Source organism: Homo sapiens, chromosome 14 (genome assembly GCF_000001405.40).
Source record: "Homo sapiens chromosome 14, GRCh38.p14 Primary Assembly".
In the NCBI taxonomy this organism is placed as follows: Eukaryota; Metazoa; Chordata; class Mammalia; order Primates; family Hominidae; genus Homo; species Homo sapiens.
In genome coordinates, this window is record NC_000014.9 from 37,200,740 (window position 1) to 37,214,580 (window position 13,841).

Here is a 13,841-nt window from a genome sequence, read left to right on the forward strand (position 1 = left end):
GCTCTATTGAAAAATGTTTGTTCAATTTTTTGCCAATTGGTTGGATGTGAAATCAGTAACTGAGATGGGCTATATTAGAGAAATATAGATCCATAATACTATATCTATCTATGTGTGTGTGTGTGTGTGTGTGTGTGTGTGTGTGTGTGTGTGTGTGTGTATTTTTTTTTTTTTTTTTTTTGAGACAAGGTGTACCTCTGTCACCCAGGCTGGAGTGCAGTGGGGTGATCTCGGTTCACTGCAGCCTCTGCCTCCTGGGCTGAAGTGATCCTCTCACCTCGGCTTCCCAAGTAGCTAGGGTTACAGGCACACACCAACATGCCCAGGCTAATTTTAATATTTTTTTGTGGAGATGGGGTTTTGCCATGTTGCCCAGGCTGGTTTTAAACTCCTGAGCTCAAGTGATCCTCCTTCCCCAGCCTCCCTAAATGCTGGGATTACAGGCACAAGCCACCACACCTGGCCAGTATTGTAAAGCAGCATGTGTTATAGTGTTTTGGTGTTGGATTTCAGATCTCTAAACATACTTTATTTGGTTTACCAGTTTTACCTTAAGACTAATTAGAGGCCAGTTTGATTCTTGTCTGAATTGTTTTTACTTCTCCCACTTTCTTCTCACCCTGTAAATCTGAAGAACAAAAGACAGGTAAGAAGTGAGAAAAGAAAGAAGAGACAGTCTTTCTTTGATATTATTTAAAAGGCTAGGAAAGAAAAGGATGAATGTCTAGACAGTTCTGGATATTTTGAGTAAAAATATGTAAAAATATATAATATAGTTATTGTAATATTTTAAGGTGCATTTTGTCCTTTGAGCTGTTCCATCTTGGGTTTTCTGACATTTTTATCTAGTGATTGAGTACACTCATGATATAGGACGTAATAGCCATTGACTTGGGCCGTGAAGCTCAACTGTGACACCTCTTCCCAGGATGGAGGCCCTTTCTTCCTTAAATGTCTCTTTGGGCTGCCCAGTTCATCTTTTACTCTTGGCCCCCTGCCTTTTGCTCAGTATTGCCCAAAATTTTACTTTAATACCATTCAGCCCACCATCCATGTTAACATTTTTAGCTAACACTTTCTAGGTATTTGTTGTTGTTCTTGTTGTTGCTTTTAGAAACAGGATCTTGCTCTGTCACTCAGGCTGGAGTACAGTGGTGCAATCATAGCTCACTGTAACCTTGACCTGGGGTCAAGCTGTCTTCCCTGCTGCAACCTCCCAAGTAGATAGGACTGCAGGTGCTCAACATCACACCTAGCTATTTTGTTTTCTGTTTTTGTTGAGACAGAGTCTACCTTTGTTGTCCGGTCTAGTATCCAACCCCTGGCCTCAGGTCCTCCTGCCTCGACCTCCCAAAGTGCCAGGATTACAGGCATTAGCCACTGCACCAGCCCATTTCTTGTTTTTAAGTAATTTATAGAAGTGAATTTAGTGCACATTTAGATATATGCTAATACTAATGAAGGGTGTGAGGGTAATTTCATCAGTGTGATCCTTCTTTGATATGTATAATTGTTTTTTTTAGTCTTACTTGATTGTTATGCAGATAGATTTAAGAGGGGCCTCACCTTCCACTATCAATTCATTGCAGTTAAGTAAGCTTTTCTCATATAGAAATTCTGGATCCAGTACATACTGCATTTCATTACACACACACACACACACACACAAACACACACACAATGACTAATGTAAATACCTTCCTGCTTTATAAGTCCCACACAAAGCAATTGTGTTCATATGCGTGTTTTTCATGGCACTCCTTGAATCAGCTTGGAGTCACTACAAATTATTATGGGTAATAAAGGGCATGTGCCAGTAGGAGGGATTCTCAGACAAGGGAGTCCCCTCCCTCCAGGGCTTCAGACTTCATAAGGGAGCAAATAGGGAATTTATGTGGCACAAATATTTAATTTGTACGATCATCCTTAGGTGATGCTTTCATATTAGTAAGGATGTATTTGTGAGTCCAATTGTAGTCATTAGCTTCTGACCGTACCTTCTCCCCTGCATATTGCCTGCACTACATTGCCATTGTTGACTTCTGGGACAATTTTCCAGGATTTCATTACTAACAAACCTTGCCTTTTCTGGTTGCAGTTTTTAGATACTTTATTTAGGTTACATTTAATCTTGTTTACCATATTTAGGGTGACTGTGTGTTCAAGGTGAATGTATTTGTCTATTGCTTATTTGTTGCTTTTATAATTTATTTCCAGCAAATCTTATTACTAGTACGTCCAGCTACCTGGGACTGGGGATGGGCAGATGACTCACTTCCACTTGCAACTTCACGTACCATCTAGAGATGGCTTTAGGGTTGATGAGAGAAAAAGAGATAATGCACAAGATTAATCAATTGTAGCTGCTTTTGTCAGCATTGTATTATTATTCTCTCTATTGAATTTATTAGATTTTGAGACTATCATAAAGAGAAGATAGAACTGTTTTAGAGCATTAATTACAAAAACAGTTTACTATAGTGGAAAGAGCACTGGGCATAAGAGCAAAATAAGTGTGGCTCACTACCTGTTTGTTTTAACTTTTCCTGGAACTCAGCTTTCTTTTGTGAAATGAGGCCTTTTGATGAAGTATCTCTAATCTCTGGTAATCTTTTTCAAAAGACTGCCAAGAGACCGTAGGGGTCATTTAGGCTACCTTCTCAGTTTAGTCACATAGTTACTAGAACCTATTTTTGTTCTGGTTTTTATTCCAGTTGCTTTTTCCATTATACTACCTGTGATAGGGAGCCTTCTAAAATGACCTTGGTATTCACTCTTGTGTAGTTCCTTCCTCTTGAGGGTGAACTAGACCTAGAGGCTCACTTCTACTAGAATATGGCAAAAATGGTGTGATGTCACTTCTCAGATTAGATTACAAAATCTATGACTTCCCTTTTTGCTGGCACTCTGTTGCTCACTCACCTTGAGGAAGTCAGCTGTCATGTTGTGAACTGACCTGTGAAAAGGCCCACCTGTCAAGGAACTGAAGGGGACCTCCAGCCAGTAAGGAACTGAGGTTCTCAGTCTAAAAAACCTCAGGCATTTGTTTATTTATTTATTTGAGATGAAGTCTCACTCTGCCGCCCAGGCTGGAAAGCAGTGGTGCGATCTTGGCTCACTGCAACCTCCGCCTCCCGGGTTCAAGCAATTCTCCTGCCTCAGCCTCCCAAGTAGCTGGGACTGCAGGCACATGCCACCACGCCCAGCTAATTTTTTATATTTTTAGTAGCGACAGGGTTTCACCACGTTAGCCAGGATGGTCTTGATCTCCTGACCACGTGGTCCGCCCACCTTGGCCTCTCAAAGTGCTGGGATTACAGACGTGAGCCACTGCGCCCAGCCCCCTCAGGGATATTAATCCTGCCAACGACCACCGAGAGAGTTTGGAAGCAGATCCTCTCCCTGTTGAACATTGAGATGACTGCACCCCTGGCTGACACTTCGATTCCAGCCTTTTGAGAGACCCTGGGCTGGAGGACTTAGCCAAGCAACACTCAATTTCTGATTTTTAGCAACTGTGAGATTGCAAATGTGTATTGTTTTAAGCTGTTGAATTTGGGTTTAATGTGTTAAGTAGTGAGATTGCAAATGTGTATTGTTTTAAGCTGTTGAATTTGGGTTTAATGTGTTAAGTAGTGATATAGTTTGCCTGTGTCCCCACGCAAATCTCATCTTGAATTGTAGCTGCCATAATTCCTTCATGTTGTGGGAGGGATCCAGTGGGAGATAATTGAATCATGGGTGGTTTCTCTCATACCGTTCTCATGGTAGTGAATAAGTCCATGAGATGTGATGGTTTTATAAGGGGAAACCCCTTTTGCTTGGCTTTCATTCTTTTTTGCTGCCGCCATGTGAGATGTGCCTTTCACCTTTCACGATGATTGTGAGGCCTCCCAAGCCACGTGGAACTGCGAGCCCATTAAACCTCTTTCTTTTGTAAATTGCCTGGTCTCAAGTATGTCTTTATTAGCAGCGTGAAAACGGACTAACACAGTAAACAGACTAACACAGTAAATGGACTAATACAGTAGAGTGGGGTGCTGCTGAAAAGATACCTGAAAATGTGGAAGTGACTTTGAAACTGGGTAACAAGCAGAGGCTGGAATAGTTTGGAGGGCTCAGAAGAAGACAGGAAAATGTGGGAAAGTTTGGAACTTCCTGGAGACTTATTGAATGGCTTTGCCCAAAATGCTGATAGTGATATGGACAATAAAATCTAGGCTGAGGTGGTCTCAGATAGAAATGAGGAACTTGTTGAGAACTGTAGCAAAAGCAAAGAGACTGGCGGCATTTTGCTCCTGCCCCAGAGATTTGTCGAACTTTGAACTTGAGAGAGATGATTTAAGATATCTGATGGAATAAGTTTTTTGTTTTTTTTTTTGAGACGGAGTTTTGCTTTTATTGTCCAGGCTGGGGTGCAGTGACACGATCTCAGTTCACTGCAACCTCCACCTCTGGGTTCAAGTGATTCTCCTGCTTCAGCCTCCTGAGTAGCTGGGATTACAGGCATGCACTACCACGCCCAGCTAATTTTTTGTATTTTTAGTAGAGACAGGATTTCATCATGTTGGCCAGGCTGGTCTGGAACTCCTGACCTCAGGTGATCCACCCACCTCGGCCTCCCAAAGTGCAGGGATTACAGGTATAAGCCACTGCACCCAGCCAGTGGAAGAAATTTTTAAGCAACAAAGCTTTCAAGAGGTGACATGGCTGCTGTTAAAACACATTCAGTTTTTTTTTTTTAATACCTTAAGTTCTAGGGTACATGTACACAAAGTGCAGGTTTGATACATAGGTATATACATGTGCCATGTTGGTTTGCTGCATCCATCAACTCATCATTTACATTGGGTGTTTCTCCAAATGCTGTCCCCCGCCAGCTCCCCATCCCCCAACAGGCCCTGGTGTGTGATGTTGCCTACCCTGTGTCCAAGTGATCTCATTGTTCAGTTCCCACCTATGAGTGAGAACTTGCGGTGTTTGGTTTTCTGTCCTTGTGATAGTTTGCTCAGAATGATGGTTTCCAGCTTCATCCATGTCCCTGCAAAGGACATGATCTCATGCTTTTTTATGGCTGCATAGTATTCCATGGTGTAAATGTGCCACATTGTCTTAATCCAGTCTGTCATTGTTGGACATTTGGGTTGATTCCAAGTCTTTGCTGTTGTGAATAGTACCATATAAACATACATGTGCCTGAAACACATTCGGTTTTATAAGGGAAGCAGAGCATAAAAGTTCAGAAAATTTGCAGCCTGACCCTGCAATTGAAAAGAAAAACCCATTTTCTGAGGAGAAATTCAAGCCAGCTGCAGAAATTTGCCTAAGTAACAAGGAGCCAAATGTTCATCCCCAAGACAATGGGGAAAATGTCCCCAGGGTATGTCAGAGGTCTTCATGGCAGCCCCTCCCATCATAGGCCCAAAGGCCTAGGAGGAAAAAATGGTTTCATGGACCAAGCTTAGGGTCCCCATGCTATGTCCAAGGACTTGGTACCCTGTGTCCCAGACACGCCAGCCTTGGCTGAAAGGGGCCAATGTAGAGCTCAGGCCATGGCTTCAGAGTGCGCAGGCCCGAAGCCTTGGAAGCTTCCATGTGATGTTGAGCCTGTGAGTGCACCGAAGTCAAGAACTGGGGTTTGCAAATCTTCGCCTAGATTTAAGAGGATATATGGAAATGCCTGGATATCCAGGCAGAAGTTTGCTACAGGGATGGGGCCCTCATGGAGAACTTCTGGTAGGGCAGTGCATAAGGGAAATGTGGGATTGGATCCCCCACACAAAGTCCCTACTGGAGCACTGCCTAGTGGAACTGTGAGAAGGGGGCCACCATCCTCCAGACCCCAGAATGGTAGATCCACTGACAGCTTGCACCATGCTCCTGGAAAAGCCTCAGACACTCAACACTGATACGTGAAAGCAGCTGGGAGGGAGGCTGTACCCTGCAAAGCCACAGGGGCAGAGCTGCCCAAGATGTAGGAACCCACCTCTTGCATCAGTGTGACCTGCATGTGAGACATGGAGTCAAAGGAGATAATTTTGGAGCCTTAAGATTTGACTGTCCTGCTGGATTTTGGACTTGCATTGGGCCTATGGCCCCTTCATTTTGGCCAATTTCTCCCATTTGGAATGGCTGTATTTACCCAATGCCTGTACCCCCATTGTATCTAGGAACTAACTTGCTTTTGATTTTGCAGGCTCACAGGTGGAAAAGACTTGCCTTGTCTTGGATGAGACTTAGGGCTGTGGACTTTTGAGTTAATGCTGAAATGAGTTAAGACTTTGGGGGATTGTTGGGAAGACATGATTGGTTTTGAAATGTTAGGACATGAGATTTGGGAGGAACCAGGGGCGGAATGATATGGTTTGGCTGTATTCCCACTCAAATCTCATCTTGAATTGTAGCTCCCGTAATTCCCTCATGTGGTGGAAGGGACCCAGTGGGAGATACTTGAATCATGGGGGCAGTTCCCCCATACTGTTCTCCTGGTAGTGAATAAGTCCAGGTGAGTTCTGATGGTTTTATAGAACCCTTTCGCTTGGCTTTCATTCTCTCCTGCCACCACCATGTGAAATGTGCCTTTTACCTTCCATGATGATTGTGAGGCCTCTCGATCCATGTGGAACTGTGAGTCTATTAAACCTCTTTCTTTTGCAAATTGCCTAGTCTTGGGTATGTTTTCATCAGCAGTGTGAAAACAGACTAATATAGGTAGCAATAGACAACTACACTATTCATTAATATCAGAAAAGCTTTAATCTGTTTTTATCAGTTTAAACTTATTTGAGGATATGATATTATTATTATTATTATTATTATTTTTTGAGATGGAGTCTCTCTCTGTTGCTCAGGCTGGAGTGCAGTGGCACGATCTTGGCTCACTGCAACCTCTGCCTCCCAGGTTCATGCGATTCTTGTGCTTCAGCCTCCCGAGTAGCTGGGATTACAGGCACGTGCCATCATGCCTGGCTAATTTTTGTATTTTTAGTAGAGATGGGGTTTTACCACATTGGCCAGGCTGGTCTTGAACTCCTGACCTCAGGTGATCTACCCACCTCAGCCCCCCAAAGTGCTGGGATTACAGGTGTGAGCCACCATGCCAGGCTGAGGGCATGCTATTTTTATATCTTGAAAAACCAATTATTAACAGTTTTAACTATAAATCCCATACTTGTTTTTGGTTATAATTTAATTGCTAGGTGTTTGTTTTATTTCTAAGCTGGCAACGTAAAGAAATTATAACTTTGAAGGATTGATTTGGTGTTTTTTTATAGTAGATGACCAATAAGACATGTTTACCTTAGATCTGCTTTAGGCTGTTGGCATGAGCATCTCTGATTCAGATATTGGCTGCATTGAAAGCATTTTTAATTTAGATTTTATACTGTTTTGGATGCATATAGTCAGGTAATCTATTCTTGTTATGAATTTGCAGTTCTGTGTTAGGATGGTTTGATTATGTATAAATAGTACTTGGAGAATGACTTTCAATATGTGTGGTTTTATAAGTTTCGGAAGCTGCTTGAGTACAAGAAGAATCGTTTTACTGGAATCCTTAATGCTGTATATTATTTTATTGTCTATTGAAGCATACCAGTTTCCTAGCTTCATAGTTTTGAGGATTTTACTGCTGAGTAACAAGTTTTGGAAAGCAGAAAAAATAAATGAAAATATAAATAAATAATATAGAGAAATTAACTTTTAGAAAACATAGATCAATTAATGTAGATAGTATAGATCAATTAACTTTTAGAAAACATAGCAAGTAATACATGAAAAGTATATAAAACATACATGGACAGTTTAATGAATGAATAAAAAGTGAGCACCCATGTAGCCACCATCAAAATATTGTTGTTTTTTAATTTTTTTGAGACAGGGTCTCACTATGTCACCCAGGCTACAGTGCAGTGGCACAGTCTTGGCTCACTGCAACCTCTGCCCCCTGGGTTCAAGTGATTCTCCTGCCTCAGCCTCCTGCGTAGCTGGGATTACAGGTGCATTCCACCATGCCCGGCTAATTTTTGTATTAGTAGAGATGGGGATTCACCATGTTGGCCAGGCTGGTCTCAAACTCCTGTTGTCAAGTGATCTTCCCACCTCAGCCTCCCAAAGTGGTGGGATTACAGGCATGAGCCACTGTGCCTGGCCTTGTCACTCTACTTCTGGCGTTATCATTATGCAAAATCATAGTGCAGTGATCAAAACCAGAACACTAATATTGTGGTTTCACTGAGTAATTCACTAAATATTGCATAAATTTGAATAAGTTGAATAAAATTACAAAATATAATTTAATTAATAATACTACTTATTAAACTGTAAACTTTATCTACATATCACTAGATTTTCTGTAAATGTTCTTTTCCTATTCTAGGAACTAATCCAGAGCTGATGTTATATTTAGTTGTTATGTTTCCAGTGTCTTTTCCTATTTGTGACTTCTTTCTATTTTGATATAGCTATGTCAGCTTTCTTTTGATTAATCTGTGCATAGATTTGGATTTTTAAAAATCCAGTGGGACATCTCTGTCTTCCAGTTGGAGCATTTGGCAATTGTGTCATTTCATCCCTTTGTATTTTTTATTATTGCCTTTTTTCTTAACCTTTTGTTATTTTAGAAATTATATAACATAAGGCTGGGCATGGTGGCTCACCCATGTAATCCCAGCACTTTGGGAGGCCGAGGCAGGAGGATCACCTGAGGTCAGGAGATTGAGACCAGCCTGGCCAACATGGTGAAACCCCGTCTCTACTAAAAAATACAAAAATTACCTGGGCATGGTGGCGCTCGCCTGTAATCCCAGCTACTCAGTAGACTGAGGCAGGAGAATCGCTTGAACCCAGGAGGCGGAGGTTGCAGTGAGCTGAGATCACGTCACTGTACTCCATCCTGGGTGACAGAGCAAGACTCCATCTCAAAACAGAAAAGAAAAGAAATTAGATAATATATACACATGGTTTTCGTTTATTTGCTTATTTGAGACAGAGTTTCACTCTGTTGCCCAGGCTGGAGTACAGTGGTGCAAACATGGCTCACTGCAGCCTTGACCTCCTGGGCTCAAGCAATCCTCCCACCTCAGCCTCCCAGGTAGCTGGGACTACAAGTGTGCCACCACACCTGGCTAATTTTTAACTTTTTTTTTTTTTTGGTAGACATGAGGTCCCCCTGTGTTGCCCAGACTAGTCTTAAACTCTGCTCCTTAAGCGATCCTCCCACCTTGGACTCTCAAAGTACTGATTACTGGTGTGAGCCACTGCACCCTGCCAGATGGATATGCTCTATTATTTTGTAGCTTCCCTCTTTAATTTAATAATATCTTGTATGTATGTGTTTTTGAAAAACGCTCAAACTGTGTTTCCCTCTTCTCTCACAGCACACTAATCAATGTGGAAGATTTCTGTGACTAAATGTCAGGGAGTTTTTCCCCACCAACAAGCAGTGGACACCAACTGGATATCCCCCAATTCAATTCTGACACTGTGTACTTGGAGATAGTGTCAGAACCCACAGGTTGGGTGCCCACTCCCCAAGACTGCCCCATTGCCCCACTTTTTTTTTTAATGGCTCATCCCTTTTGACACCAGTCACAAGTTAGCGTTCCCATTACCTTCTCTTTAGTTTTGATTAAATTGCTGGAGCGGCTCACAGAACTCAGGGAAAGTCATTTAGTGGTTATTTATAAAGGATGTTTAATCGCCCATTGGGTTCTTCCTGTTCACTGCACAGTCAAAGCCAATTCACTGAGACTATGCTGTTGCAGTAGAGAGGTTTATCAATGCAGAACTAGCCAAGTAGATGGACTCGCGGGATTCCTCTAATCAGTCTCCTCGAAGGCTTGAAGATTAGGCGGGCAGGGGGCTAGAGAATGAGTTTTGCTGACACGTGATGAAATAGGGATATGGAGAATGTGTGTGCTGAATTGGCCTCTCAGTGGGGGCCACAGGACTGGTTGAGTCATCTAAAGGAGCAATAGGGAAAGTCACAAACCTTGTGACCTCTGGCCACATGATTGCTGACAGCAAGGGATTATAGAAAGGCAAGCGAGAGGGCAATGTCTGGTTATCATTTGACTACAGCTACATTGTAGCAGAATTTAGGTCTCTCCTATAATCCTAATTTTGTGGCCTTTCATTAGTTTTACAAAAGTGGTGTTGGTACCTGAATAAGTAGGGTTTCATTTTAGGCAGGTAGTATTATCATCCCTGCTTCAAAATTAAACTATAAACTAAATTTCTCCTATGATTATCTTGGCCTACACCGAGGAAAGGTGAGTACAGCCAGCCTGAGAAGCTAGAAGCAAGATGGAGTCAGCCATGCTTGATTTCCTTCACTGTCATAATCTTTGCAAAGGCAGTTTCAGATGTTACAAAGGATAAAGATGAAAACAAGCATAGGAGATGAGGAGGCAGAGCAAGATGATGGAATAGAAAGCTCCACTGCCCACCCCCCCACCCCCCAGACAAGGACACCAAGTTAACTATCTACACAGAAAAAAAACACTTTCACGAGAGCCAAAAATCAAGTGAGCACACATAGTACCTGGTTTTAACTTCATATTGCTGAAAGAGGTACTGAAGAGATCGAAAAACAATCCTAAGTCACTGCCACTGCTTCCCCACTCCCAGCAGGGGTGGCATAGTGCAGAGAGTTTCTCTGGGAACTGGGGGAGAGAAAACACAACAATTGTGAAACATTGAACTCAGTACTGTCCTGTTAGGGCAGAAAGGAAAAGCAGACCAGACTCAGCTGATGCCCACCCACGGAGGGAACATTTAAAGCAGCCCTAGCCGGAGGGGAATTGCTGATCCCAGTGGTCCAAATCTGAGTGCCTTCAAACCTTGCCACTGAGGTCTGCAGCACTCTATGTCTCCATATAAACTTGAAAGGTAGTCTAGGCCATAAGGACTGCAACTCTTAGGAGAGTTCTAGTGCTAAACTAGGCCCAGAAACAGTGGACTGTGGTTGGGGGGCATGTGACATACTGAGACACCAGCTGGGGCAACCAATGGAGTGCTGGCATCACCCCTCACCTAACCCCAGGCTGCGTAGCTCCCAGTTCCAAAAGAGACCCTTTCCTTCTGCTTGAGGAGAGGGACGAGTGGGGAGGACTTTATCTTGCATCGAGGATATCAGCTCAGCCACAGCAGAATAGGGCACCAGTCAGAGTTGTGAGCCCCACTCCACGTCCTAGCTCCCAGATGACATTTGTAAACACACCCAGGGCCAGAAGGGAACTCACTGCCTTGAAGGAAAGGACCCATTTCTGGCAGCATTCATCACTTGTTAACTGAAGAGCCCTTGGGCCCTGCATAATCAACAGTGATACCCAGGTACTACATCAAGGGTGTTGGGTGAGCCTCTGAGATTTGCTGGCTTTAGGTAAGACTCAGCACATTACCAGCTGTGATGGCTATGACGCAAAACTCTTTCTGTCTGAGAAAAGTAGTTGGAAAAGTAAAGAGGATGGACTTTGTTTTGTACCTTAGATACCAGCATTGCCACCGGTGGGTAGAACACTAAGTGGGCTCTTGGAGTCCCTGATTCCAGAACTTGACTCTTGGATGACATTTCTGGACCTGCTCTGGGCCAGAGAGGAGACCACTTCCCTTAAGGGTGAGTCACAACCCAGAAAGCATTCATGACAAGCTAACTTAAGAGAACTTGGGCTGTAAGGGAAGATTGACGGTAGTCTGGTGGTACTCCTCATGGCCTGGGGTGGCAGTGGCTACGGGGTAAGGCGCCTCTGCCTTTGGAAAGGGGAGGGAAGGACTGAGTCTTGTGCTTTGAGTTCCAGCTCACTCATAGTACAATAGAACACCTGGTAGACTTGCCGCATTTTTTACTCTACTCCCTGACTCTTGTATGGCACTTCAGGACCCACCTGGGGCCTGGGGGACCTCACCACCCTGAAGGGAAGGACATAGGCCTGGCTTGCTTTGCCTCCTGCTGACTGTAGAGTTCAAGGGTCTTGAGCGAACGTAGGCTGTAGCCAGGGAGTTACTACAGCAGGCTTTGGGCGAGATCTAATGCTGTGCTGGCTTCAGGTCAGACCCTACATAGTCATAGTGGTGGTGGCCACAGGGATACTTATGTCACTTTACCCCCAGATTTACGTGTCATAGAACAGAGAGAGAGAGATTCTGTGTGTTTGGGAGAAAGTAAGGGAAGAGAATAAGAATCTCTGCCTGGTATTTCAGAGAATTCTTCCAGATCTTGTCCAAGATTATCAAGGTTGTACCTATGTGAGTCTGCAAGAACCACAGCATTACTAGTCTTGGGGTTCCCTCTAAAGCAGATATAGCTTAGGTCACACCTGAGTCCTTTCAGATGTCTGGAAAGCCTTCCCAAGAAGGACAGCTACAATAAACCCAGACAGTGAAGACTACAATAAATACCTAACTCTTCAATGCCCAGATACCAAAGAAAATATACATGTACACTATTCAGGAAGACATGACCTCATCAAATAAACTAAGTAAGGAAGCAGAGACCAATCCTGGAGAAACAGAGATATGAGACCTTTCAGACAGAGAATTCAAAATAGCTGTGTTGAGGCCACTCAAAGAAATTCAAGATAACACAGTGAAGGAATTTGAATTCTGTCAGATACATTTAACAAAGATATGGAAATAATTAAGGAGAGTCAAGCAGAAATTCTAGAGCTGAAAATGCAATTGACATACTGAAGAATGCATCTAAGTCGTTTAATAGCAGAAGTTGTCAAGTAGGAGAAAGTTAGTGATCTTGAAGACAGGATATTTGAAAATACACAGTCAGAAAAGACAAAAGAAAAAAGAATAAAAAAACAATGAAGCATGCCTACAGGATCCAGAAAATAGCCTCAAAGGGCAAATCTAAGAGGTATTGGCCTTAAAGAGGAAGTGGAGAAAGAGATAGGGGCAGAAAGTTTATTCAAAGGGATAATAATGGAGAAATTCCCAAACCTAAAGAGAGATATCAATATTTAAGTACAAGAAAGTTATAGAACACCAAGCAGATTTAACCCAAAGAAGACTATTTCAAGGCATTTGATAATGAAACTCCCAAAGGTCAGTGATAAAGAATGGATCCTAAAAGTATCAAGAGAATAGAAATAACATACAATGGTGCTTCGTTGTGGCTGGCAGCAGACTTTTCAGTTGAAACCTTATAGGTCAGGAGTTAGTGTCATGACATATTTAAAGTGCTGGAGGGCAAAAAAAACATTATACCCTAGGATAGTATATCTGGCAAAAATATCCTTCAAACATGAAAGAGAAATAAAGGCTTTCCCAGACAAACAAAAACTGAGACATTTTATTAATGCCAGACCTGTTCTACTAGAAGTGCTAAAGGGAGTACTTTAATTAGAATGAAAAGGATATTAATGAGTAATAAATAATTGCCTGAAGGTACAAAACTCACTTGTAATAGTAGACAGAAAACCACAGAATACTATGGCACGGTAACTGTGGTGTGTAAACGACTCTCATTCTCAGTAGAAAGAATAAATGATAAACCAACAAAAAAGTAGTAACTTCAGCAACTTTTCAAGACATAGTACCATAAGATGTAAATAGAAACAACAAAAAGCTAAAAATCAGGTAGATGAAGTTAAGGCATAGAGTTTTTATTAGTTTTCTTTTTGCTTGTTTGTTAATGAGAATAGTGTTGTTTTCAGATTAAAATAATGGGTTATAGATAGTATTTGCAAGCCTCATTGTGGGCGGCAAGCCACCCAGGTGCTGAGGCAAGAGACCGAGGACACGAGCTGTTCCAGTATAATAAAGAAAAAACATAAAATAAGAACATTTATACTAGATATAGATCATAGATATGATTATATATGACTATCATT

The 13,841-nt window shown here is 42.4% G+C and overlaps 1 protein-coding gene across 13 annotated transcripts in view; it reads left to right on the forward strand.

Moving 5' to 3' along the window:
• Positions 1–13,841, forward strand: part of MIPOL1 (mirror-image polydactyly 1) — a 354,425-nt gene that overhangs the window by 2,803 nt on the left and 337,781 nt on the right. Inside the window, exon 2 of one of the 13 annotated variants that reach the window (NM_001195296.2) lies at positions 11,491–11,617. The exons of the other annotated variants lie outside the window; for them this stretch is intronic. The gene's annotated coding sequence lies outside the window, so the exon portion shown is untranslated. The remainder of the gene's footprint in view (positions 1–11,490; positions 11,618–13,841) is intronic. 13 annotated transcript variants of the gene reach the window in all.